The sequence below is a fragment of the Homo sapiens genome, chromosome 2 (assembly GCF_000001405.40).
Source record: "Homo sapiens chromosome 2, GRCh38.p14 Primary Assembly".
Classification (NCBI taxonomy): domain Eukaryota; kingdom Metazoa; phylum Chordata; class Mammalia; order Primates; family Hominidae; genus Homo; species Homo sapiens.
The window spans coordinates 148288993-148314010 of NC_000002.12; the positions used below are offsets into that span (position 1 = coordinate 148288993).

Consider the following 25018-nt stretch of genomic DNA (forward strand, 5'->3'; position numbering starts at 1 on the left):
TAATTGTGTGCAGCCCCTGAACAACTCTTCTGCTGTTTTCTGAAACTATTTATTTAAATCTCATATGGTTATTGAACTACTTTTGTGCTTACAACTTCCCAAACTATAAGCTTCATTCATTACAGTGCCTTGCTAATAGTAGAAATGGCCAAAATAGTTTTTTTATTTGACTCAAGCTGATACAAACTCATTCTTTTCCAGAATAAGAAAAATTAACTTTACTCCTATTTAATGTATAGTACATTTATCTCATAAAACTATGAAAAGCCTTTATAGCAAATATTAACAATTTCTCCTTTTATGAAACTTATAATGAGTTCTTCTTTCAATATAGGTTATGAGTGGAATTTTAGATTCATGTTCTAGAGATTTGGTAAGACAATAGTGCTCATGAGGGTAAGATGACATGTTTGTGAAAATGTCCAGAAACAGGTATTTTCTTACACTGTGGGTAGGTATAATTAGTACAACTCTTGGAAAACAACTAATCAATGTATGTATGCCATACCTACATTGGATACCTACCAAGGTATGCCATACCTACATAAAGGATAAAAAGATATTATTATCCTTTAACTCAGTTTCTAAAAATCTATTCTAAGGAAGCATAGAAAAACATTATCCACAGGAAACTTTACAACATTATTTATAATAACTAAATTTGGAAACAACCTAAATGGTAAACAGTAGTGAATGGTAATGAACAAATTACAATGCAATAATGTGATGTTATTATACATAATGTTTTCAAATAATTTGCTTAAATGTGGACTTTCTCTTTAAAAATGTACGAAATTTAGTATTGTCACTGCTTTGCAAAAAATGAAAGCAGAAAAAAAGTCTGAGAAAGTTATGCAAAAATATCAACAGTTTAATAGTTATTTGGTTTTAATTAATAGGACTGTTTTCATTCTTACACTTATTTGTATTCTCTAATAATCCTATAAAAATCATGTATTACCTTTTTTTTTTTTTTTTTTTGAGATGGAGTCTCACTGTGTCATCCAGGCTGGAGTGCAGTAGCACGATCTTAGCTCACTGCAACCTCTACCTCCTGAACTCAAGCAATTATCCTGCCTCAGCCTCCCAAGTAGCTGGGATTACAGGTGCCCACCACCACGCCCAGCTAATTTTTTTGTATTTTTAGTAGAGACAGTGTTTCACCACGTTGGCCAGGCTGATCTCGAATGCCTGACCTCAGGTGACCTACCTGCCTCAGCCTCCCAAAGTCCTGGGATTATAGGCGTGAGTCACCGCACCCAGCCAAAAATCATGTATTACTCTTTAAATGAATGGAAAAGTAAGCTGCTTTTTTTAAATCTAAGAAACAATAAACACTTAAATCATTCTCTTGGGAAAGATATATTTCTTAAGAATGAGATTCCTGCCTTTTAACAGGCTTTAGGAATTTCAGAATAAAAAAGGAGAACTAGAGCAGTTTAAAGTACTGAGCAACTGATCAAATTCACCATTGCACTGCCATGACTCTCCTTCTAGATGAAAGAGGCCTCAATACAAATTATCAGTCTCCTCATACCTTAACTGACCTTCTGTTGACTTATCAATACTAAGCCATTTAGTGACTGTATGTTTTCAGTGTGACAACCCCAGGCTCTTCCCCGCTCATTATTTTCTCTTCATTTCCTTTTACTCAGTACAGTATTTTTAATGTTCATCAATATTGTAGCGTGTATCAGTAATTTTTTCATTTCTATTACCAAATAATATTTCAGTTACGAATATACCACATTTCATTTTATTCATCAATTGATGAATATTTGAGTAGTTTCTACTTTTTAGCTATAGTGAATAATAATACTATAAATATTTGTGCACAAGTTTTTATGTGAATATATATTTTCATTGCTCTTTGTTATATAACTAGGCATAGAATTACTGACTTATATGTTAACTTTATGTTTAACATTTGAGAGACTGTCAGGCTCTTTTCCAAAACAGCTGCACCATTTACAGTCCTACCAAGAGTGTATGAGGGTTTCAGTTTCTCCACATCTTTGTCAATACATGCTTTATTTATCTGTCATGTCTATTCCATTGATCTGTATGTGTCTATCTTTTTGTAGGTACCACACTATTTTAATTACTGTAGCTTTGATAAGTTTGAAATAAGGAAGTAAGAGTCCTCCAATTTTGTTCCTGTTTTTTAAAATGGTGTGTTTGGGCTATTCTACGTTCTATCAATTTCCATGTGAATTTTAAGATCAACGTACCAATTTTAGCAACAAAGCTAGCTGGGAGTTTGATAGAGATTACATTGAATCAGTAGATCAATTTGGAGAATTTTATCATCTTAACAATAGTAGAGCTCAGATCCATGAACATGAGATGTCTTTGTATTCACTTAAGTCTTTAATTTCTTTCACTGATATTTTGTAGTTTTTAAAATGTAACTTCACTCTTCCTTTGTTAAATCTATTCACAAATATTTTAATTTTTTAATAGAATTTTCGATGGAATTGTTTTATTATTTCATTTCAGATTATTCATTGCCCGTTTAGAGAAAATAACCAATTTTTTTTAACACTGAGTCAATGGCAAAAGAAAATGATTGATTTTTGTATATTGATCTTGTATCCTGCAATTTTGCTGAACTTGTTAATTTTTGTAGATTTTTAGAACATTCCTTTGGCTTTCTTATATATAAAATCAGTGTAATGCCTATCAAAATACCAATGACATCCTTCACAGAAATAGAAAAAACAATCCTAAAATGTATATGGAATCACAAAAAATCCAAAATAACCAAAGCTGCTCTAAGCAAAAGAACAAAACTGGAGGAATCACATTACCTGACTTCAAATATACTACAGAGTTGTACTAACTGAAAACAGCATGGTCCTGGCATAAAAACAGACACATAGACCAATGGAACAGAATGAGAACCTAGAAACAAATCCATACACATACAGTGAACTCATTTTTGACAAAAGTGCCAGAAGCATACGCTGAGGGAAAAGAGTCTTTTCAATAATTGGTGCTGGGAAAACTCAATAATCGTATGCAAAAGAATGAAACTAGACCCCTATCTCTCACCATAAACAAAAACCAAATCAAAATACATTAAAGACTTACATTTAAGACCTCAAACTATGAAATTACTACAAGAAAACATTGGAGTAGCTGTCTAAGATATTGATCTGGGCAAATATTTCTTGAGCAACACCCCATGAGCACAGGCAGCCAAAGCAAAAATGGACAAGTGGGATCACATTAAGTTAAAAAGCCTCTGCACAGCAAAGGAAACAGTCAAGAAAGTGAAGAGACAACAAACAGAATGGGAGAAAATATTTGCAAACTACCTATCTGACAAAGGATTAATAACCAGAATATGTAAGGAGCTCATAAACTTTACAGGAAAAATAATCTAACAATACAATTTAAAAATGGGCAAAAGATTTGATTCAATAGACATTTCTCAAAAGAAGACATACAAATAGCAAACAGGTATATGAAAGGGTGTTCAATCATTAATCATCAGAAATGCAAATCGAGACTACAATGAGATATCCTCTCACCCCAATTAAAATGACTTATATCCAAAAGATAGGTAATAACAAATGCTAGCTAGGATGTGGAAAAAAGGGAACCCTCCTACAATGTTGGTGGGAGTGCAAGTTAGTACAGCCACTATGGACAACAGTCTGGAGGTTCCTTTAAAAACTAAAAATAGAGCTACCATATGATCCAGCAGTCTCACTGCTGAGTATATACCCAAAAGAAAGGAAATCAGCATATTGAAGATATATCTGTGCACTCCCAAGTTTGTTGCAGCACTGTTTACAGTAGCTAGAGATTCGGGAGCAAGCTAAGTGTTCATCAGCAGATGAATGGATAAAGAAAATGTGGTACCTATACACAACAGAGTACCATTCAGCCATAAAAAAAAAAAAGGGATCCAATCATTTGCAACAACATGGATGGAACTGGAGATCATTATGCTAAGTGCAATAAGCCAGGCACAGAAAGACAAACAAATGCATGCTCCCACTCATTTGCTGAATTAAACAAAACAATTGGCCAGGTGAAGTGTGGCTTATGCCTCTAATCCCAACACTTTGAGAAGCCAAGGTCAGGTGGATCACTTGAGCCCAGGAGTTCGAGACCAGCCTGAGCAACGTAGTGAAACCTTGCCTCAAAAAAAAAAAAAAAAAAAAAAAATTAGCCAGGCATGGTGGCATGTGTCTGTAGTCCCAACTCCCTGGGAGGCTATGGTTGCCAGAGGCTGGGAAGGGTAGTAGGGGATTGGGGGAGAGGTGGGGATGGCTAATGGGTACAAAAACTATAAAGAAGGAATAAAATCTACTATTGTATTGTGATAGCATAATAGAGTGACTATAGTTAATAATAATTTAATTGTATATTTTAAACTTAAAGAATGTAATGGTTTATATCTCAAAGGATAAATGCCAGAGGGGATGGATACCCCAGTCTCCATGATGTGTTTATTTCACATTGCATGCCTGTATCAAAACATCTCATGTACCCCGTAAATATATATACCCACTATGTACCTACAATAATTTTTTTGAAAAAGATCATATCATCTTAAATCGAGATAGTCTTACCTCTATCTTAGTCTTTCCCAATCTGTGTGCCTTTTATTTCATTTTCTTGTCTAGTTTCCTTGGCTAGAACTTCCAGTATAATGTTGAATAGAAGTGGCAAGACTAGATATTTTTTGTTCCTGATCTGGGGGGAAAACATGCATTCATTCACCATTAAGTATGATATGAACTGTGGATTTTCCATAAATGTCCTTTAATGGTTGAGGAAGTGCCCTTCTACTTCTTGTTTGTTGAATATTTTTAAAATGAAGAGGTGTTAGATTTTGTCACATGCTTATTCTGTGCTCCTTTATGTTATTCTTGCCAGATATATTTCTATATGTGATAGACCCACAGTACTTTCTCCTACAATATTGTTTTATACAATTTCTTTTTCGATCAATTAAGGAAAGAAGGAGACGAAATATGCATTCATTGTATCTTTTATAATTACTTTTACTTGTGCTGCCCCTTTTTGTTTTCTTCATGTCAGATTATCAACTGGATTCTTGAAGAAGTTTCTTTAGTACTTCTTGTCATGTAGGTAGATGTGTTATCAATAAATTTTCTCAGTTTCAGTTTCCTTGGAACATACTTATTTCACGTTCCTTTTTGAAATAGAGTTTGGCCAGAATGAAGTTTTTTTTTTTTTTTTTTTTTTTTTTTTTTTTTTTTTTTTTTTTTTGAGACAGAGTCTTGCTCTGTCATTCAGGCTGGAGTGCAGTGGCGTGATCTCGGCTCACTGCAAGCTCTGCCTCCCGGGTTCACGCCATTCTCCTGCCTCAGCCTCCCGAGTAGCTGGGACTACAGGTGCCCGCCACCACGCCCGGCTAATTTTTTGTATTTTTAGTAGAGACAGGGTTTCACTGTGTTAGCCAGGATGGTCTTGATCTCCTGACCTCGTGATCCGCCTGCCTCGGCCTCCCAAAGTGCTGGGATTACAGTTTTTTTTTTTTTTTTTTTTGAGATAGAGCTGGCTCCATCGCCCAGGCTGGAGTGCAGCCGTGCGATCTCAGCTCACTGCAACCTCCACCTCCCGGGTTCAAGGGATTCTCGTGCCTCAGCCTCCCGAGTAGCTGATATTACAGCCACACACCACCATGCCCAGATGATTTTTTTTGTATTTTTAGTAGAGACAGGCTTTCACTATGTTGCCCAAGCTGGTCTCGAACTGCTGGCCTCCAGTGATCTGCACACCTCTGCCTCCCAAAGTGCTGGGATTACAGGCGTGAGCCACCACGTCCAGCCCAGAATTAAAATTTTTAAGTAACAAGTTTTGGGGTTTTGTTTTCCTGTCAGCACTTTGTTTATATCATCCCTCTGCCTTCTGGTCTCCATTGTTTCTGATGAGAAATCAGCCACTGATCTTTTTGAGCTTCCCTTGTATGTGAGAAATTATTTTTCTCTTACTGCGTTCAAGATTTTCTCTCCCTTGAACATTTTCACTTTGATGTGTCTGAGTATGATTCTCTCTGTCTTCATCCTACTTGGAATTTGTTGAGCTTCTTCAGTAGGTCAGTTAGTGAATTTTCATCAAATTTTGGAAGTTTCCAGCCATTATTTCTTTGAATATTATTTTGTTTCTTTCTCACATCTCCTTCTGGTACCCCTCTTATGCATATGCTGCTGTGTTTCATGGTGTCCCACATTTCTCTGAGGCTCTGTTATTTACTACATTCTTTTTTCTCTGTGCTTTCATTACATAATCTCTATCAATCTATCATCGTGTTCACTGATTCTTTATTCTGCCAACTGAAATCTATGATTGAGCCCCTCTAGTGAATTTCTTATTTCATTGTATTATATATTTATTTCCATCCGGAATTTCCACTTTTCTCTTTTTTTAAAATCCATAGTCTTTGCTTCATTGTGTGCAAAGAGTATTAGTGGCTTTTGAGCTCCCTGCATTTCTATTTCTTGAAAAATTGGTGTTTGATTCTCTCCAAAATAACCAGAGAAGAAATAAGGCAGAAAGTATGTCCTCCTCACAGTCTCCACTCAGTTCCGAGACTAATAGAAAAGAACGTAACCAGACTCTGAGTTCTTTGCAATATCTGAGGTCAATACATAGAATTCTTCAGTAATTCGTGCATTCATTTTTTTCTACAGTGTCATCAAAGGACAAGCAGAAATCTTGATTCTTAACTATTACAATATAATGGCCTCACCTGTGACCACTTCCGCAGTAAATCATAATAGCAACAAGGTCGTGTATTCTGTCTGGATTGGTTGCATCCCCTGAAGTGTTACACAGACAAAGTTCTAAACGAAAAACTACCTAGTAAGAAAGTTTCGTACATCAGTGAATTTAATCCATATATTTAAATATTTTCAGATGTAGAGCTCTAATCATGGGTGGTTTTTAAACTTTCATTCATTTATGTGCTTCCTATTTGCTACAACACTCTTCACAGTAATGTCTGTATTCACTTCATAGAGTTTCTGTGTTGCTAAAAACCCTTAAACAGTGAATAACTGATATATTTTGTTCTATATCACAGGAAGTTCTTTAAAATCTTCATCTTTGCTCTTATAGTTTCACAAGTAATACATCTGGTTTCATTAGTTAATGTTTTCTGAAAAATTTCATGAACCTACATTGGGTCTGGTGTGCTGTTGTTATTTTCATTATCAATATTACCATTTGGTAAGTGACCATTTTGTTTATCCTGCCTTCTCTCTTCTTATAGAATATCAGCAATTGTATTTAGTAGGTAATTTAAGAACCCATGGGTATCTTGTTGCATGCAGAAAAACTCATTTTCTTTCTGTAACCTTGTTTTGAACTTCTCGGGCGATATTACTTCAACCTTTTCCTTCTGTGTGGCTACACAGTGGAAGAAAGTTGCTGAGCACATTAAAATTTTCCTTCTACCTAGGTTGTCTTGTATGCTAGAACTTTTTCCTGAAATGGATGACAAAAATAAAGCGCATGAAGAACTGAATTCCCAAAATTGCACATATTTCCCAAATTGACTAACCCAAAAGTGCCCATTGCAGGTATTCCCAAAATTGACTAACCCAAAATAGTGTTCATTGACTGGAAACTGTTCTGGGCCAATCTCTTTCTCTAATGCTGAAGCACTGGCACTCGTGGTCCAGATGGAGGCAGGGGAGGAGAGAAGCTAGGCCACCCACTTGCATTGCAAAGCATGGGCCACAAACCCACACACCAAACCTGCCCAGCCACCATTGCCCAATTTTTTTTTTACAATTTCTGTCTCTTTATTAATATTGTATATCTGTTAAAATGTTGTAATCATACTTTCCTTTTGTTCTTTAAGCATAGTTTGCTTTAGTTCTTCAATTTTTTTTTTTTTTTTTTTTGGAGACAGAGTCTCACTCTGTCGCCCAGGCTGTACTGGAGAGTACAGTGGCACAATTTTGGCTCACTGCAACCTCCGCATCCCAGGTTCAAGCAGTTCTCGTGCCTCAGCCTCCCAAATAGCTGGGATTACAGGCACCTGCCACCACGCCCGACTAATTGTTTTTATTTTTGGTACTTGTAGTAGAAACGGGGTTTCACCGTGTTGGCCAGGCTGGTCTGGAACTCCTGACTTCAAGTGATCTGCCCACCTCAGCCTCCCAACATGCTGGGATTTACAGGCATGAGTTACCGTGTCTGGCCTCTTTGCATATCTTATAATATTTTATTGAAAACTGGACTTTCTAGATAGCATATTGTAGCAATTCTGAATATTAGTCCTCAATATTTGTCATTGTTGTTGGCCTGTTTATTCATTTAATGACTTCCCTGGACTATTTTAACAAAATCTATTCACCACCTATGTGAAGCTTCTGATGTTACTCTTCAGAGCACGCAGCCTTTCCCATGCATATAGTCCTCCTGGGATGACAGTAGCTATGACAGACTCCCTTTGACTGTCTCTTTCCTTGATCTGTTATGCTGTTTGCTTCTATTGGTATCATACCTACCTGTTAAGCTCTACTAATTGCTGGGGTAATGCTTTATTGTTTCCAATAATACCCCAGGGAACAAACTGCTGTAGTCTGTTCCAATTAAATTCTGTCCCCTATACTGAACTAATTTTGAGGCCATTCTTTGAAGTTTATTCTGACTCCAGGAAGATTGTTCTTAACTGCCTCTTTGATTCTCTCTGGCAAATACCTTCAAGTTTTGGGGAGTGTTTTTCTGTTTTGTTTAATAACTGATATCCAGTCATTTCCTATTGTTCACCGAGATGACCTACTACTTAGCTTATTTCTCTCATGGAGATACTAGCCTCCTTTTGCATACCATCAGAATCTTCATTGTTTCAAGAGCACTCTTGGGCTTGAATTCTCCCTCACTCTATTCTCAATAAAGTCAGTTCTCTTGGGGAGAGCTTCGGAGTTCTCTGTTCTTATGATATTCTCCTCCCCCTGGGCAAAATCTTGGAACTACTAGCCTGAAGCTAAGGTTAGGAACAGCAGCCCACTTTTCATGCAGTGGCAAACCTGTTTTATGAGCAGAGCAGTGTGCAGAGGAGTAGCCTCTAATCTCTTGGCTTGCTTCTCCCAGCATGGAACCTGTGCCCTAAGGGTGAGCTGGGGCATGGATGCTTTAAGCTCCAGTGTTCTCAGTCTACCTCACCTGGAGTAGAAGAACTTTTGCTCTACAGGTAAGGTCTTGGTGCAGAAAGGGAACCCCTGGCCTCTCAACTGTACTTGAGTAGAATTTTACATCTGCAATACATAGCTGGGGTCATGAGAAATGTTGATAGCTTGCCTTCTGTGGAAGATATCAGAGCCCTTGGCTGGGAGGTGGGGAGAAGGGCAGCCCTGTAATCTTGACCACACCTACCTGGAGTGGAGCTTCTGTCCTGCTGAGCTGGTGAGTGGGAGTGAGGAAGGCAGTGGGTTGTGACTCAAGTGCCAGTGACTCTCTTTGTTCTTCCCAAGAGTTAGTAAATTGTCTTGCACAAATGTTTCTTCATTGGCTGTGTGCCCTGAAGACAATTTTCAGAGATTTTAAATGATTTTATTTTTATAATTTTTTACCAGTTATGGTTGTTTCACTGGGGAGCTCCTCACTCCTCATCCATTCCAGAAGTGAGTCTGGGCTATTATCTTTTGGACAGTATCCCATAAACCTCTCTTCTTCTTCTCAGAAGGAACTTTATTACTGTATGATTTATAATTTATCAATATATTGCTTATAGCTCTAGAAATCGGCATCATGCCATAAACCACTTTGTACACTGCATGTCAGTAAATTACAGCATCCTCATATATCAATATTGTATGTATAGACTTAGTGCCAACATGTACGAATAGGCACAACCTAACCTAAGTACACCTGTTTATATACATGGCATTCTGTAGGTGATATACAAGGAAAGAGAATAAGCAATTCTGGGTTACAGCCAATCTCAGTTGTAGTCATGCTACTGCCTCCAAATCCAGTGTGACAAAGCAAGGATGGGGAAACTTTCTCCTTTCCCCATCCTTGATGGTCCCCCAGTTAACCCAGGATATGCTAGGCCAAGCCAGGCCCTTTTTCTTCTCTAGCAGTTTCTTCCTAGAACCTCCCAGCAGAAGGTAAGCTTTGCTCCATCCTCTGTTTAAAGAACTTTCTTTTTTTTTTTTGAAACAGAGTCTAGCTCTGTCGCCCAGGCTGGAGTGCAGTGATATGTTCTGGCTCTCTGCAACCTCTGCCTCCCAGGTTCAAGCGATTCTTCTGCCTCAGGCTCCTGAGTAGCTGGGATTCCAGGCATGCACCACCACACCCGGCTAATTTTTGTATTTTTAGTAGAGACAGGTTTCCTCCCTGTTGGTCAGGCTGGCCTTGAACTCCTGGCCTCATGTGGTCCACCTGCCTCAGCCTCCCAAACTGCTGGGATTACAGGAATGAGCCACCATGCCTGGCCTAAAGAACTTTTTTAAAGAACTTTGTCTAAAGTTGTTTGTAACTTTAGGAGTTCTTCTTTGCTCCTGCAACCCTCTATTCTCTCCAAATGTTCATTGACTACTAATGCTCTATTCTGTTTCACCGGAGAAAAATGAAGGACCGACCTTCTGGATCTATTGCTTAAGCCTTCAGGTGCCTGCATATAAGATATATAAAAGGCTCAGTTTTATTCCATTTCCTGGGGTGTTTTGTTTTGTTTTAATAACTGATATCCAGTCATTTCCTATTTTGTTCACTGAAGTGTCATGTTTTACCCATATGCAGAGTTAACAAGTTTCTATTATGTATGATCTCCATTTTCAAAAATGTCTGAGGACCTGTAGAGTACACTTTAAATGCTTCAGGAAGTCAGTCATAACCTTTTATATTTGCCCATAGTTTGCTTTCTTGCCTCATCTCTGATCTCCCTGAGCTCCATTTATACTGGGCCAAAAACTTACTGCTTTCTCTTAAGCAGACCATCTATTTTATGTGTCAGTGCTTTTGCTTTCACAGATATTTAACCAAATGATTGTCACAGAATATCCTAATAGTAATATGAGATATCAGGGACCCAGTACATACCTATTGAATAAGTGACTACATTTGGGGATTTTTTTTTTTGAGATGGAGTTTCACTCTTGTTGCCCAGGCTGGAGTGCAGTGGCACGATCTCAGCTCACTGTAACCTCCGCCTCCCAGGTTCGAGCAATTCCCCTGCCTCAGCCTCCCAAGTAGCTGGGATTACAGGTGCCCACCACCACATCCAGCTAATTTTTTGTATTTTTAGTAGAGACAGGGTTTCATCATGTTGGCCAGGCTGGTCTCGAACTCCTGACATATCATCCACCTGCCTTGGCCTTCCAAAGTGCTGGGATTACAGACATGAGCCATTGCGCCCGGGCATGGGGATTGTTTTTTAGAAAGCTCTTCATTTGATTCTAAAGCTACTTAAGATCCAATGCTATTCTCTCTTCTTTTCCTGCAGTGTCTTCCCTATCATCACTTGTTCCCTTTGCTTGACAAAGTCTTGCTTAACAAAAAGAAGAAAGAAAAAAAAAAACTAGACACAACTAAAATATTACCTTCCTTGAAAAGTTTTTCTCAATTTTGTCTGTATTCCTCAGCTAGTGGATATTTGTTATTCTTGGATAATTAGTATTAGAACTCTTTTTCTGGGTTTAGGGAGTACCCTACACTCTGAATCAGAGACATTTTCTATCTTACAGGCTTAAAATGCCAACTACTTACTCTCCCAGTCTCTGTTACACATTGGGCATGAGTCCATAAACAGGACTGCCAATCAGGCATACTCACCACAGACTTTGAAACAAAAATTAGAGACATGAAAAAAATGTAGACTACAGACTCCATTTCTGGAGTCTTCATTTCTGAAGTAGCAGTAGCAGCTACTTCCAGTTTCCAAATATAACAGAAAAGTTATTATAGTGGCAACATCTATCCTGCAGCTTCCAGACAGTAGCATTGCATGCTGCACGCTCCTTTCCTGGTTGGGTAACTTCCAAAGCTGTTTCTATAGCATCCTGAAGAATTCTGTGAGGTGTTTCCTATCCTTTGATAAATGTATTTTCTTCTGAAATTATAAGTTGGTTTCTATTGCTGGTGACTAAGATGGAGGGACACCTCTGTGCCCCTAAAGCACTTCATTCATAAGCCAATATAGCAACAAACCAAACTATCTTATAGTTAATTGCCAATAGAATATGAGTTAACTGAGTCAAGAAGGAAAGAAAACACATTCTAGGCAGAAAAGCATAGCAGTAGCCTGTGTAGCTGGAAGGAACATAGAAGGTACCAGGGACTAAAGGGACAGTGTGTCTGGAAGATAAAGTGAAGTAACTGGTGAAGAGTGTCAATGGATGGGAAATTGTTAGAGGAATTAAGTAACTGAATCATACTGTTAGCAGTGGTGAATCCATATGGGTTTTCAACAACCTTAATTCTTACCTCCTCAGAAGAAATAATTCAACAAAGGGGCATAAGAGCAGAGTGGGAGACTGAGGCAAATTTTAGAGCAGGAGTGAAAGTTTATTAAAAAGCTTTAGAGCAGGAAGGAAGGGAAGTAAAGTACACTTGGAAGAGGGCCAAACAGGTGATTTGACAGATCAAGTGCACGGTTTGACCTTTGACTTGGGATTTTATATCTTGGCATGTTTCTAGGGGAATTACGTCCCTTTTCCCCTGATTCTTCCCTTGGGGTGGGCTGTCCTCATGAGCAGTGGCCTGCCAGCACTTGGGAGGGGCTATATGCATAGTATATTTGCTGGAGTTGTACACGTGCTCACTTGAGGCATTCTTTTCTTTAGCAGTCTAGTGTTCTTAGAAAAAGGTCATATACCAGTTAAACTCTGCCATTTTGCTTCTTAGTGTACATGCTTGACCCCACTTGCCTAACTCCTGAAATCTTATCAGAAAGCTGCTGATCACCAGTTTCAGGTGTTTCTATCTATTGGGAGACTGCCTTTCCCTGGCACCAGCTGTGACCAATTATTATTTTAGAGAGACAGACCATCCACCTGACTCTCACCTGATGGTTGCCTGACATTCTTGGTTGGGAATGGGGGGCCCTCTCCTGCCTTGCTCGTGTCTGACTAGCTACCTACTGTAACAATACTAGCTGTATAAGACCATGTGAAGATATTTTTAAGTTCAAAAATAACATAAAGCTATTGAGTCTTTATAAATGGCAGATATTATGCTCAGATTAATATTTTGAAAAAAATCCTCTTGCTGTGGGCATGAAGAATAGATTGGAGGTGGGAAAATACTGGTGATTTTAGTTGGATTTGTGATTTGCTCATAGTGTTAAGTTCTGTATTATTGTTCCAAGTGATCACTGCCTCCAGACCAGATCTTTCTATTAATGCTTACTTTTTCCTTTTGGAGCAATCTGGAATGAGGACTTTCCCTCCCCATCAAAAAGCCTTTTATTTTAACCTTTAAAGCTACCTAAGACACAGAACAGGCTAGAGCAATATTTTCTCCATGCTTCTTGCTGTTATTAATAGCTCTTGCTAATAGAGATGTAATTTTTTAAAGTCAATGTTCTGCTGAAGAGACTTAAACTTATATCAAGTCCATTTAATTACATATAGATGTGGGACTTAGATTGGATTATTTTTCTATGCAGATATTAAAGCATTTCGGTTTTGGGTTTTTGTTTGTTTTTTTTCTGGGTTTTCTGGAGACACGGTCTTACTCTGTCACCCAAACTAGTGTGCAGTGGTGCTGTCATGGCTCACTGCAGCCTCAACCTCCTGGTTTCAAGTGATCCACCTCAGCCTTCCGAGTAGCTGGCACTACAATGTACACCACCCTACCTGGCTAATTTTTTTTTTATTTTTTTAGAGATGAGGTGTCACTATCTTGCCCAGGCTTCTGTTTTATTTTGAAAGCACGGTTGCTTTCATCTTACTCTTTTCAAACTAAAGTGAAAAGTAAAATGATATACCACACTAAAGCGTATATGTTTCATTATATCATATATACATTATATGTTATACATTATTATATATATTATATATATTTATTTGAAGAGCTATTCAAAAATAAAATTTGAAGATGTTATTTATATTTTTAGTTGGTCTCAGAAAGTGAAATAATGATTGCAGATTGCCAGATTGCTAATGGCCAGCAAAATAATTGGAGCTGCTATTGGTTTTTAATAAGTGGAACCTTCTGAATTTTAGCAAATCCAGCAAATCATTACAAAAGGCATTCAGTAGTAAATCAGACAAACAATTTGGTGTTTCGTTAATTAGTATATTCAAGCCATTTAAGCTTCTGAAGAATAAGGTTGCCCTGCCAGAAAATCTTTCCAAGCATACTTAAAAAAGCAATATTCTAAACAAAGGCACAGCATTTGGTTGCTAATATATGCAAAGTTGGTAGGGAAAAGTCTGTGTGGCTACATGACAGGCCAGCCGGCTTACCACAACAGCACAGCAGGGAGCAAGGGGAAGTATTGGAGGTTAAAGGCAAAGACAAAGAGGAGTTTTCCAGTTCCAGAGTGTTATTTCATATAAGAATGATTTTGTTTGCTGTTGTTGACCTTATCTGTCCACATCATTTCTTAGTTATTTTAACTGACAAAAAAAGAAAAGTGTAGAATATGAATAAGAAAAAATAAAAGCATATATTCTTTGTCTAAAGTAAAATTCAGGAAATATTAGGTTTAACAATTTGAAAAGATCTGTCGTTTTTGTGAGTCAAAAATGATTGATTATGGACAATTTCATGTGGTTCAACCTAATCAAACCTACCAGTAGATTGTAATACATCACAATATACAGCATGTTGCAAATATAGTTTGCTCACTCTGAATAGATTTGTATATCTTTTTCTTTTTTTGTTATCAAAAATTATTTGTAAGAAAATATTTACTGGTATCAAATAAATCTAATTTTATTAGGTGTCAGAAACACTTGATGTGGACATTTTTAATAGAGATTAAAGCTCAAAAGAAACCTTTAAAGTAATGAGGGGGCAATAGAGTACAAATGACCTCAAAGCCTAACGCTGATGAACTGAGCCAACTTATAATGCCCTCATCAATCTCTCAGCTGATATTCCAGGACTCAGAGATTTTCCACAGCCATATATCCACACTGCAGATCTCCCCGATTCCTAGGAGTCTGAAATCTCAGGAAAGATGAGAGTCAATGTAAGTAGTAATAATAATAATAGCAGCTAACACTTAAACAGTATTTACTGTACCCAGGCACTGTTTTAAGTGTTTTACATATATTAATTCATTTAATCCTCAAAGCAATCTAATTAAATAGGTAATATTAACATCAAGAAATAGGTGAGGAAATGCAGGCACACAACAGTTAAGCAATTTGCACAAAAGTGCCACAGTAAGTAAGTACCTGAGCCAAAATTTAATCCCAGGCGTTCTGGCACAAGAGTCAGTACTTAACCAGCAGCAAACTGCTTCTCAATATAAAAAAAAAAGTCTAGCATCACTGAATCAATTCTAGTACATTGTGGGTTGCAAAATTAGTTGAAATACCAACATCCTTAATAAAGCTTTTCAAGCTTCTTTTCATTCTAATAGCTACTATTCTGGACTACGTTAAAGAAAAATATTATGGATGACATTTGATAAGACAATATGTTCAAGGGACTACTGCATTGGGGACTGCAGTGGGAGAGAGAGATTGGGCCCAACTCTAACTCCAATAAGGGCAGTGGGTATCTATACCCAAGGAGCAGAGTGGGTGTCAGTGGATGGAAAATTACTGAAAGGAAACATCAGAGGCAAGGAGAATTCTGGCTGAACTGACTTGACAGGGTTATTTTAAAAGGCACGCCGGGCGCGGTGGCTCACGCCTGTAATCCCAGCACTTTGGGAGGCCGAGGCGGGCGGATCACTAGGTCAGGATATCGAGACCATCCCGGCTAAAAAAACGGTGAAACCCCGTCTCTACTAAAAATACAAAAAATTAGCCGGGCGTAGTGGCGGGCGCCTGTAGTCCCAGCTACTTGGGAGGCTGAGGCAGGAGAATGGCGTGAACCCGGGAGGCGGAGCTTGCAGTGAGCCGAGATCCCGCCACTGCACTCCAGCCTGGGCGACAGAGCGAGACTCCGTCTCAAAAAAAAAAAAATAAAATAAAATAAAAGGCAGGCCATTTGATCAGATATCAAGGATGGGAGATTTTTGCTAAACTGATCCAGCAGGATACTTGCTTAAAGTAGACTAAACAGTCAGAGTCACTAGACTAAGGATGGAGCCCAAGATTGAAGCCTTGTTAAGAGGAGGACTCAGAGGAGCCTAACGTTTAGTCAAAGGAGAGAGTTTCTGTCAATCCTCCCTGTTGTTCAAAGGAAAGAAGAGTCAATCTTCTTTTCTTTAAATAATAAAAGTCCATTCCTCATTTGGTAGAGGATGTCTGCCGGATGGTATGAACAATCAGGCATTTAATGAGTGGCATTTCTATGAAACAGAAAAAGAAAAACCAAGATTAATGTCTACAAACCCAGTTTCTGTGTCCAGAGGGCAGCCAGTCAAGAAGATTTCTGGTTATTGGGCTCAAAGCATCTTTAAATGGTCGACTGAGGGTGAGAGAAGCAACCCCACACATTTCCTGGTTTGCAGTTTGAATGTGTTTAGCGATGACATCGGGTGAACTTTCTGAGGGGCCCAAACAGCAGCAGGCATGATGTCGCCTGCACACAATCTGTTATGGTAATTTGTTTGAAGTTCATGTCAAGTTGTCCAGCCTCAGCTTGCAGAGCTTTGGGAAAATGGCAGTTTTAGTTCTTAGTGATGCCAAAGCAGAAGGATGGGAGAAAAAATTAGAATGTTAGTTTGGACAGTTGTAGCCAGATATCAAAGGAAACTAGAGGAATTCTGGATCCCGTCCAGTTTACAAGTATATAATGAAACCTCAAAGACAGTGAACAGAGCTAGAATCTAATAACAGGTCCACTATAGTTTTCCAGTGAAACAAAATTTTTTACAATCTCCCCCCTTTTTAATTTTTTATTACAAAATAAATCTAGTGTCATTAGATTTGACCTGATTATTTAAATAAGCATGGCAAGAATGGTAATTGATCACATAGGCTTTTAAAATTTGCTTTGTTTGAACTTTTCATAAGGAATCTCAGATTAAACTTTTAAAACCCAGGCTAGGATAGCAAGCCAAGAACTCACCACCAGATTTTGCCACCTATTACGCCTACAGATTTAAGTGAATTCCTCTCTTCTCTAAGTCACCAAGGTATCCAGAGTTTCCTGGGCCTCCCAGGAAGAGACTTCTGTATTCAATTGTAAGAACGGGAACCCTGTAAGCCAGGTACCAGGCTGGTATCTTAAGAGGGCTTTGTAAGCATTGGCTTATAAAGTTGACTCTAGTTTCTTAAATCTGTTTAGTCATATCTGATTCTGTGTACTTCATTCTAAAATATGCCATTCCAGTCAAAGCCTTGGTAATGTAATCAATGTTTCCAGCTCTGTCCTGCTATAATAAAAACATATTTTATTGAACTTATACAAACAACTATATTGCCATAAAAATAATAATACTCAATAATAGTATCCATATTTTGGAGAGATTAGGCAGGGAGAAAAAAATAAATGTTTCGTTTTGTTTACAAAGACATAATCTGTAAGATTGCTCTAAGTTATAGATAGTTTAAGAGAAAAAGGTTTCTTTAAATATGGAAAACAAAACAACAAAGAACCAGCAATGTTTCAAACAAAACCTAATAAAAATTAGTTCATTCAGTCTCATGTAATTAATTTTTGTTCTGCTTGATCTTGAATTAATAGTTTTATGAACCCATCAACTTCTAAGGGTCTGATAACAATTTATTTGAAAAGAGAATTTGGTTGTTTCTGTGACACACAACAATAATAACCAGAAAAGAGGATTTTGGCAAAGTCCTATGAATGTCATACAATTTCTGGAATATTTATATCAATGACATATACTCATAGAAATAGAAAATAAATAAGCTTAAACATCACATTTTATTTGACAGTGCTTCCTTGTAATTTAACATGTCAAATACACCAATGTAGGGTAACATCCTTCTTTTTACAAGATTAGAGCATTTAGGATTTGATTTGGGGAACTTTGTCAAAAATGTTAAAAGTTGGAACACTTGATTAAATGGGATCACAGGTCACTGTGAAACAATACTTAGTTGTTTATTTAACCAAAGTAATTATAAAAGGTTTTGCAGGCAAATACAGAAATTTACATAATTGTAAAAAAGAAACCTTAGGTCTTTTAAAATTGATAAGACTTAGGTTTTTTAAGTAATTGAAAACAAACAGACTAGAAAACTTTATTCTTTTAACAAAGAGAAAACCCAATTGTAGCTTTTCATCAGAAAATTATGAGCTCTATTTTTTTAAAGAACTTTATAAGTAAATCCATCCAATCTTAGCAACTTGATTATACAAAATTTCTTTTTCACAAACTTTTACAACCATTTTACATCCATTCAGTTTTTATCATACTCTTTTCCTCTTTCACATCCTAAAACAACAGTCATCTTACTGTAGTAGAAAACTCCCTTTTTCCTCAGTGAAAACACATTTTTAAATCTTTTATACTGTTTCTTACTAAAAACACATCTTACTTTTCTTACACATTTTGCACACAAAGTTGTTTCCCTTTACCTTTATTATTTCTAGTAGTTTAAATTACATATATTGCTTATACTTTTTTTATTATACTTTAAGTTCTGGGATACTTGTGCAGAACGTACAGGTTTATTATATAGGTATACACATGCCATGGTGGTTTGCTGCACCCATCAACCCGTCATCTACATTAGGTATTTCTCCTAATGCTATCCCTCCCCTAGCCCCCGACCCACTGACAGACCCAGGTGTGTGATGTTCCCCTCCCTGTGACCATATGTTCTCATTGTTCAGTTCCCACTTGTAAGTGAGAACATGTGGTGTTTGGTTTTCTGTTCCTGTGTTACTTTGCTGAGAATGATGGTTTCCAGCTTCATCCATGTCCCTGCAAAGGACATTAACTCACTTTTTTTTACAGCTGCATAGTATTCCATGGTGTATATATGCCACAATTTCTTTATCTAGTCTATCACTGATGGGCATTTGGGTTGGTTCCAAGTCTTTGCTATTGTGAACAGTGCTGCAGTAAACATATGTGTGCATGTGTCCTTATAATAGAGTGATATATAATCCTTTGGGTATATACCTAGTAATGGGATTGCTGGGTCAAATGGTATTTCTAGTTCTAGATCCTTGAGGAATCACCACACTGTTTTCCACAATGGTTGAATTAATTTACCCTCCCACCACAGTGTAAAAGCGTTCCTATTTCTCCACATCCTCTGCAGCATCCGTTGTTTCTTGACTTTTTAATGATTGCCATTCTAACTGGCATGAGATGGTATCTCATTGTGGTTTTGATTTACATTTCTCTAATGACCAGTGATAATGAGTTTTTTTCATATGTTTGTTGACCTCATAAATGTCTTCTTTTGAGAAGTGTCTGTTCATATACTTCTCCCACTTTTTGATGGGGTTCTTTCTTTTTTTTTTTTTTTTTTTTTTTTTTTGATGGGGTTAAGTTCCCTGTAGATTCTGGATATTAGCCCTTTGTCAGGTGAATAGGTTGCAAACATTTTCTTGCGTTCTGTAGGTGGGCTGTTCACTCTGATGAGAGTTTCTTTTGCTGTGCAGAAACTCTTTAGTTTAATTAGACCCCGTTTGTCAATTTTGGCTTTTTTGGCATTGCTTTTGGTATTTTAGTCTTGAAGTCTTTGCCCATGCCTATGCCCTGAATGGTATTGCATAGGTTTTCTTCTAGGGTTTTTATGGTTTTAGGTCTTACATATAAGTCTTTAATCCATCCTAAGTTCATTTTTCTATAAAGTGTAAGGAAGGGGTCCAGTTTCAGTTTTCTGCAAATGGCTAGCCAGTTTTCCTAACAACATTTATTAAATAGGGAATCCTTTCCCCATTGCTTGTTTTTGTCAGCTTTGTCAAAGATCAGATAGTTGTAGATGTGTGGCATGATTTCTGAGGCCTCTGTTCCGTTTCATTGGTCTATATATCTGTTTTGGTACCAGTATCATGCTGTTTTGGTTGCTGTAGCCTTGTTGTATAGTTTGAAGTCAAGTAGCATGATGCCTACAGCTTTGTTCTTTTTGCTAAGGATTGACTTGGCTATATGGGCTCTTTTTTGGTTCCACATGAAATTTAAAGTAGTTTTTTCTAATTCTGCAAAGAAAGTCAATGGTAGATTGGTGGAGATACCATTGAATCTATAAATTACTTTGGGCAGTATGGCCATTTTCACGATATTGATTCTTCCTATCCATGAACGTGGAATGCTTTTCCATTTGCTTGTCTCCTCTTTTATTTCCTTCAGCAGTGGTTTGTAATTCTCCCTGAAGAGGTCCTTCACGTCCCTTGTAAGTTGTATTCCTAGGTATTTTATTCTCTTTGTAGCAACTGTGAATGAGAGTTCACTCATGATTAGGCTGTCTGTCTGTTACTGGTGTATAGGGTGATTTTTGCATGTTGACTTTGTATCCTGACACTTTGCTGAAGTTGCTTATCAGCTTAAGGAGATTTTGGGCTGAGACAATGGGGTTTTCTAAATATAAAGTCATGGCATCTGCAAACAGAGACAATTTGACTTCCTCTCTTTCTATTTGAATACTCTTTATTTCTTTCTCTTGCCTGATTGCCCCAGCCAGAACTTCAAATACTATATCGAATTCAAATTCCTGAATAGGAATGGAGAGAGAGGGCATGGTTCTCTTGTGCCAGTTTTCAAAGGGAATGTTTCCAGCTTTTGCCCATTCAGTATGATATTGGCTGTAGGTTTGTCATAAATAGCTCTTATTATTTTGAGATACATTCCATCAATACCTAGTTTATTGAGAGTTTTTAGCATGAAGGGTTGTTGAATTTTATCAAAGGCCTTTTCTGCATCTATGTGGTTTTTGTCATTGTTTCTGTTTAAGTGATGGATTATGTTTATTGATTTACAATGTTGAACCAGCCTTGCATCCCAGGGATAAAGCCAACTTGATCATGGTGGATAAGCTCTTTGATGTGCTGCTGGATTCAGTTTGCCAGTATTTTATTGAGGATTTTTGCATTGATGTTCATCAGGGATATTGGCCTGAAATTTTCTTTTTCTGTTGTGTCTCTGCCAGGTTTTTGTATCAGAGTGATGCTGCCCTCATAAAATGAGTTATGAAGGAGTCCCTCCTTTTCTATTGTTTGGAATAGTTTCAGAAGGAATGGTACCAGCTCCTTTTTGTACCTTTGGTAGAATTCGGCTGTGAATCCATCTGTTCCTGGGGTTTTTTGGTTGGTAAGCTATTAATTACTGCCTCAATTTCAGAACTTGTTATTGCTCTATTCAGGGATTCGACTTCTTCCTAATTTAGTCTTGGGAAGGTGTATGTGTCCAGGAATTTATCAATTTCTTCTACATTTTCTAGTTTATTTATTTAGAGGTGTTTATAGTATTCTCTGATGGTAGTTTGTATTTCTGGGGGATCAGTGGTAATATCCCCATTATCATTTTTTATTGTGTCTATTTGATTCTTCTCTCTTTTCTTCTTTATTAGTCTGGCTGGTGATTTATGTATTTTGTTAATCTTTTCAAAAAACCAGCTCCTGGATTCATTGATTTTTTTTGAAGTGTTTTTCGTGTCTCTCTATCCTTCAGTTCTGCTCTGATCTTAGTTATTTCTTGTCTTCTGCTAGCTTTTGAATTTGTTTGCTCTTACTTCTTAGTTCTTTTAATTGTGATGTTAGGGTGTCAATTTTAGATCTTTCCTGCTTTCTTCTATGGGCATTTGGTCCTATAAATTTCCCCCTAAACACTGCTTTAGTTTTGTCCCAGAGATTCTGGTACATTGTGTTTTTATTTTCACTGGTTTCAAAGAACATCTTTATTTCTGCCTTGATTTCATTATTTACCCAGTAGTCATTCAGGAGCAGGTTGTTCAGTTTTCATGTAGTTGTGTGGTTTTGAGTGAGTTTCTTAATCCTGAGTTCTAATTTGATTGTACTGTGGTCTGAGAGACTGTTTGTTATAATTTCTGTTCTTTTGCATTTGCTGAGGAGTGTTTTACTTCTAATTATGTGGTCAATTCTAGAATAAGTGCTATGTGATGCTGAGAAGAATGTGTATTCTGTTGATTTGGGGTAGAGAGTTCTGTACATGTCTATTAGGTCGGCTTGGTCCAGAGCTGAGTTCAAGTCCTGAATATCCTTGTTAATTTTCTGTCTAGCTGATCTGTCTAATATTGACAGTGGGGCATTAAAGTCTCCCACTATTATTGTGTGGGAGTCTAAGTCTCTTTGTAGGTCTCTAAGAACTTGCATTATGAATCTCTCAGTGCTCCTGTTATTAGGTGCATATATATTAGGTTAGTTAGCTCTTCTTGTTGCATTGATCCTTTTACCATTATGTAAAGCCCTTCTTTGTCTTTTTTTACCTTTGTTGGTTTAAAGTCTGTTTTATCAGAGACTAGGATTGCAACCCCTGCTTTTTATTGCTTTCCATTTGCTTAGTAAATATTCCTCCATCCCTTTATTTTGAACCTATGTGTGTGTTTGCATGTGAGATGGGTCTCCTGAATACAGCACACTGATGGGTCCTGACTCTTTCTCCAATTTGCCAGTCTGTGTCCTTTAATTAGGGCATTTAGCCTGTTTACATTTGAGGGTAATATTGTTATGTCTGAATTTGATCCTGTCATTATGATGCTGGCTGGTTATTTTGCCTGTTAGTTGATGCAGTTTCTTCATAGTGTCGATGGACTTTACAATTTGTTATGTTTTTGCAGTGGCTGATACCGGTTTTTCCTTTCCGTATTTAGTGCTTCCTTCAGGAGCTCTTGTAAGGCAGGCCTGGTGGTGATAAAATCTCTCAGCATTTGCTTGTCTGTAAAGTATTTTGTTTCTCCTTCGCTTTGGAAGCTTAGTTTGGTTGCATATGAAATTTTGGGTTGAAAATTCTTTTCTTTAAGAATGTCGAATATTGGACCCCACTCTCCTCTGGCTTGCAGGATTTCTGCAGAGACAGCTGCTGATAATCTGATGGGATTCCCTTTGTGGGTAACTTGACCTTTCACTCTGGCTGCCCTTAACATTTTTTCCTTCATTTCAACCTTGGTGAATCTGACCATTATGTGTCTTGTGGTTGCTCTTCTCAAGGAGTATCTTTGTGGTGTTCTCTGTAATTCCTGAGTTTGAATGTTGACCTCCCTTGCTAGGTTGGGGACGTTCTCCTGGATAATATCCTGAGGAGTGTTTTCCAACTTGGTTGCGTTCTTCCCATCACTTTCAGGTACACCAATCAAACGCAGGTTTGGTCTTTTCACATAGTCCCATATTTCTTGGAGGCTTTGTTCGTTCCTTTTCATTCTTTTTTCTCCAATCTTGTTTTCACACTTTATTTCATTAAGTTGATCTTCAATCTCTGATATCCTTTCTTCCACTTGATCGATTCGGCTATTGATACTTGTGTATACTTCATGAAGTTGTTGTGCTGTGTTTTTCAGCTCCATCAGGTCATTAGTGTTCTTCTCTAAACTGGTTATTCTACTTAGCAATTCCTGTAACCTTTTTTCAAGGTCCTTAGCTTCCTTGCATTGGGTTAGAACATGCTCCTTTAGCTCAGAGGTGTTTGTTATTACCCACCTTCTGAAGCCTACTTCCGTCAATTTGTCAGACTTGTTCTCTGTCCAGTTTTGTTCCCTTGCTGGTGAGGAGTTGTGATCCTATGGAGGAGAAGCATTCTGGTTTTTGGGATTTTCAGCCTTTTTGAGCTGGTTTTTCCTTGTCTTCCTGGATTTATCTACCTTTGGTCTTTGATGTTGGTGACCTTCAAATGGGGTTTCTGTGTGGTTGTCCTTTTTGTTGATGTCGATGCTATTCCTTTCGGTTTGTTAGTTTTCCTTCTAACAGTCAGGCTCCTCTGCTGCAGGTCTGCTGGAGTTTGCTGGAGGTCCACTCCAGACCCTGTTTCGCTGGGTATCACCAGCAGAGGCTGCAGAACAGCAAAGATTGCTGCCTGTTCCTTCCTCTGGAAGGTTCGTCCCAGAGTGGCACCCGCTAGATGCCAGCTGGAGCTCTCCTGTATGGGGTGTCTGTCGACCCTTGCTGGTAGGTATCTCCCAGTCAGGAGGCACGGGGATCAGGGACCCATTTGAGGAGGCAGTCTATCCCTTAGCAGAACTCGAGCACTGTGCTGGGAGATCTGCTGCTGTCTTCAGAGGTGGCAGGCAGGAACATTTATATCTGCTGAAGCTGCGCCCACAGCTGCCCCTTCCCCCAGGTGCTCTGTCCCAGGGAGGTGGGAGTTCTATGTATAAGCCCCTGACTGGGGCTGCTGCCTTTCTTTCAGAGATGCTGTTCTCAGAGAGGAGGAATCTTGAGAGGCAGTCTGGCTACAGCGGCTTTGCCAAGCTGTGGTGGGCTTCGCCCAGTTCAAACTTCCAGGCAGCTTTGTTTACACTGTGAGGGTAAAACCACCTACTCAAGCAGACGCACCTCCCTGCTCCAAGCTCGAGCCTCCCAGGTTGACTTCAGACTGCTCTGCTGGCCACGAGAATTTCAAGCCAGTGGATCTTAACTTACTGGGCTCTGTGGGAGTGGGATCCACTGAGCTAGACCACTTGGCTCCCTGACTTCAGCCCCCTTTCCAGGGGAGTGAACGGTTCTGTCTCATTGGCATTCCAGGCACCACTGGGGTATGAACAAAATCTCCTGCAGCTAGCTCAGTGTCTACCCAAATGGCTGCCCCATTTTTGCTTGAAACCCAGGGCCCTAGTGGTGTAGGCACCCAAGGGAATCTCCTGGTCTGCAGGTTGTGAAGACCATGGGAAAAGCAGAGTATCTGGGCTGGAATGCACTGTTCCTAATGGCACAGTCCCTCAATCCTTCCCGTGGCTAAGGGAGGGAGTTCTCTGACCCCTTGTACTTCCTGGGTGAGGCAACGCCCCACCCTGCTTCTGCTTGCCCTCCATGGGCTGCACCCACTGTCTGACCAATCTCAATGTGGTAAGTTGGATACCTC

The 25018-nt window shown here is 38.4% G+C and overlaps 1 protein-coding gene and 1 pseudogene across 27 annotated transcripts in view; one reads left to right on the forward strand and one right to left on the reverse strand.

Annotated features, from left to right (window-relative positions):
* The window catches only part of MBD5 (methyl-CpG binding domain protein 5), a 496045-nt gene that overhangs the window by 268066 nt on the left and 202961 nt on the right, over positions 1 to 25018 (forward strand). The window contains exon 1 of one of the 27 annotated variants that reach the window (XM_047445081.1): positions 23961 to 24105. The exons of the other annotated variants lie outside the window; for them this stretch is intronic. The gene's annotated coding sequence lies outside the window, so the exon portion shown is untranslated. Of the gene's footprint in view, positions 1 to 23960; positions 24106 to 25018 lie in introns of those variants that run through there. 27 annotated transcript variants of the gene reach the window in all.
* USP12P2 (USP12 pseudogene 2) lies at positions 6413 to 7672 on the reverse strand (annotated as a pseudogene).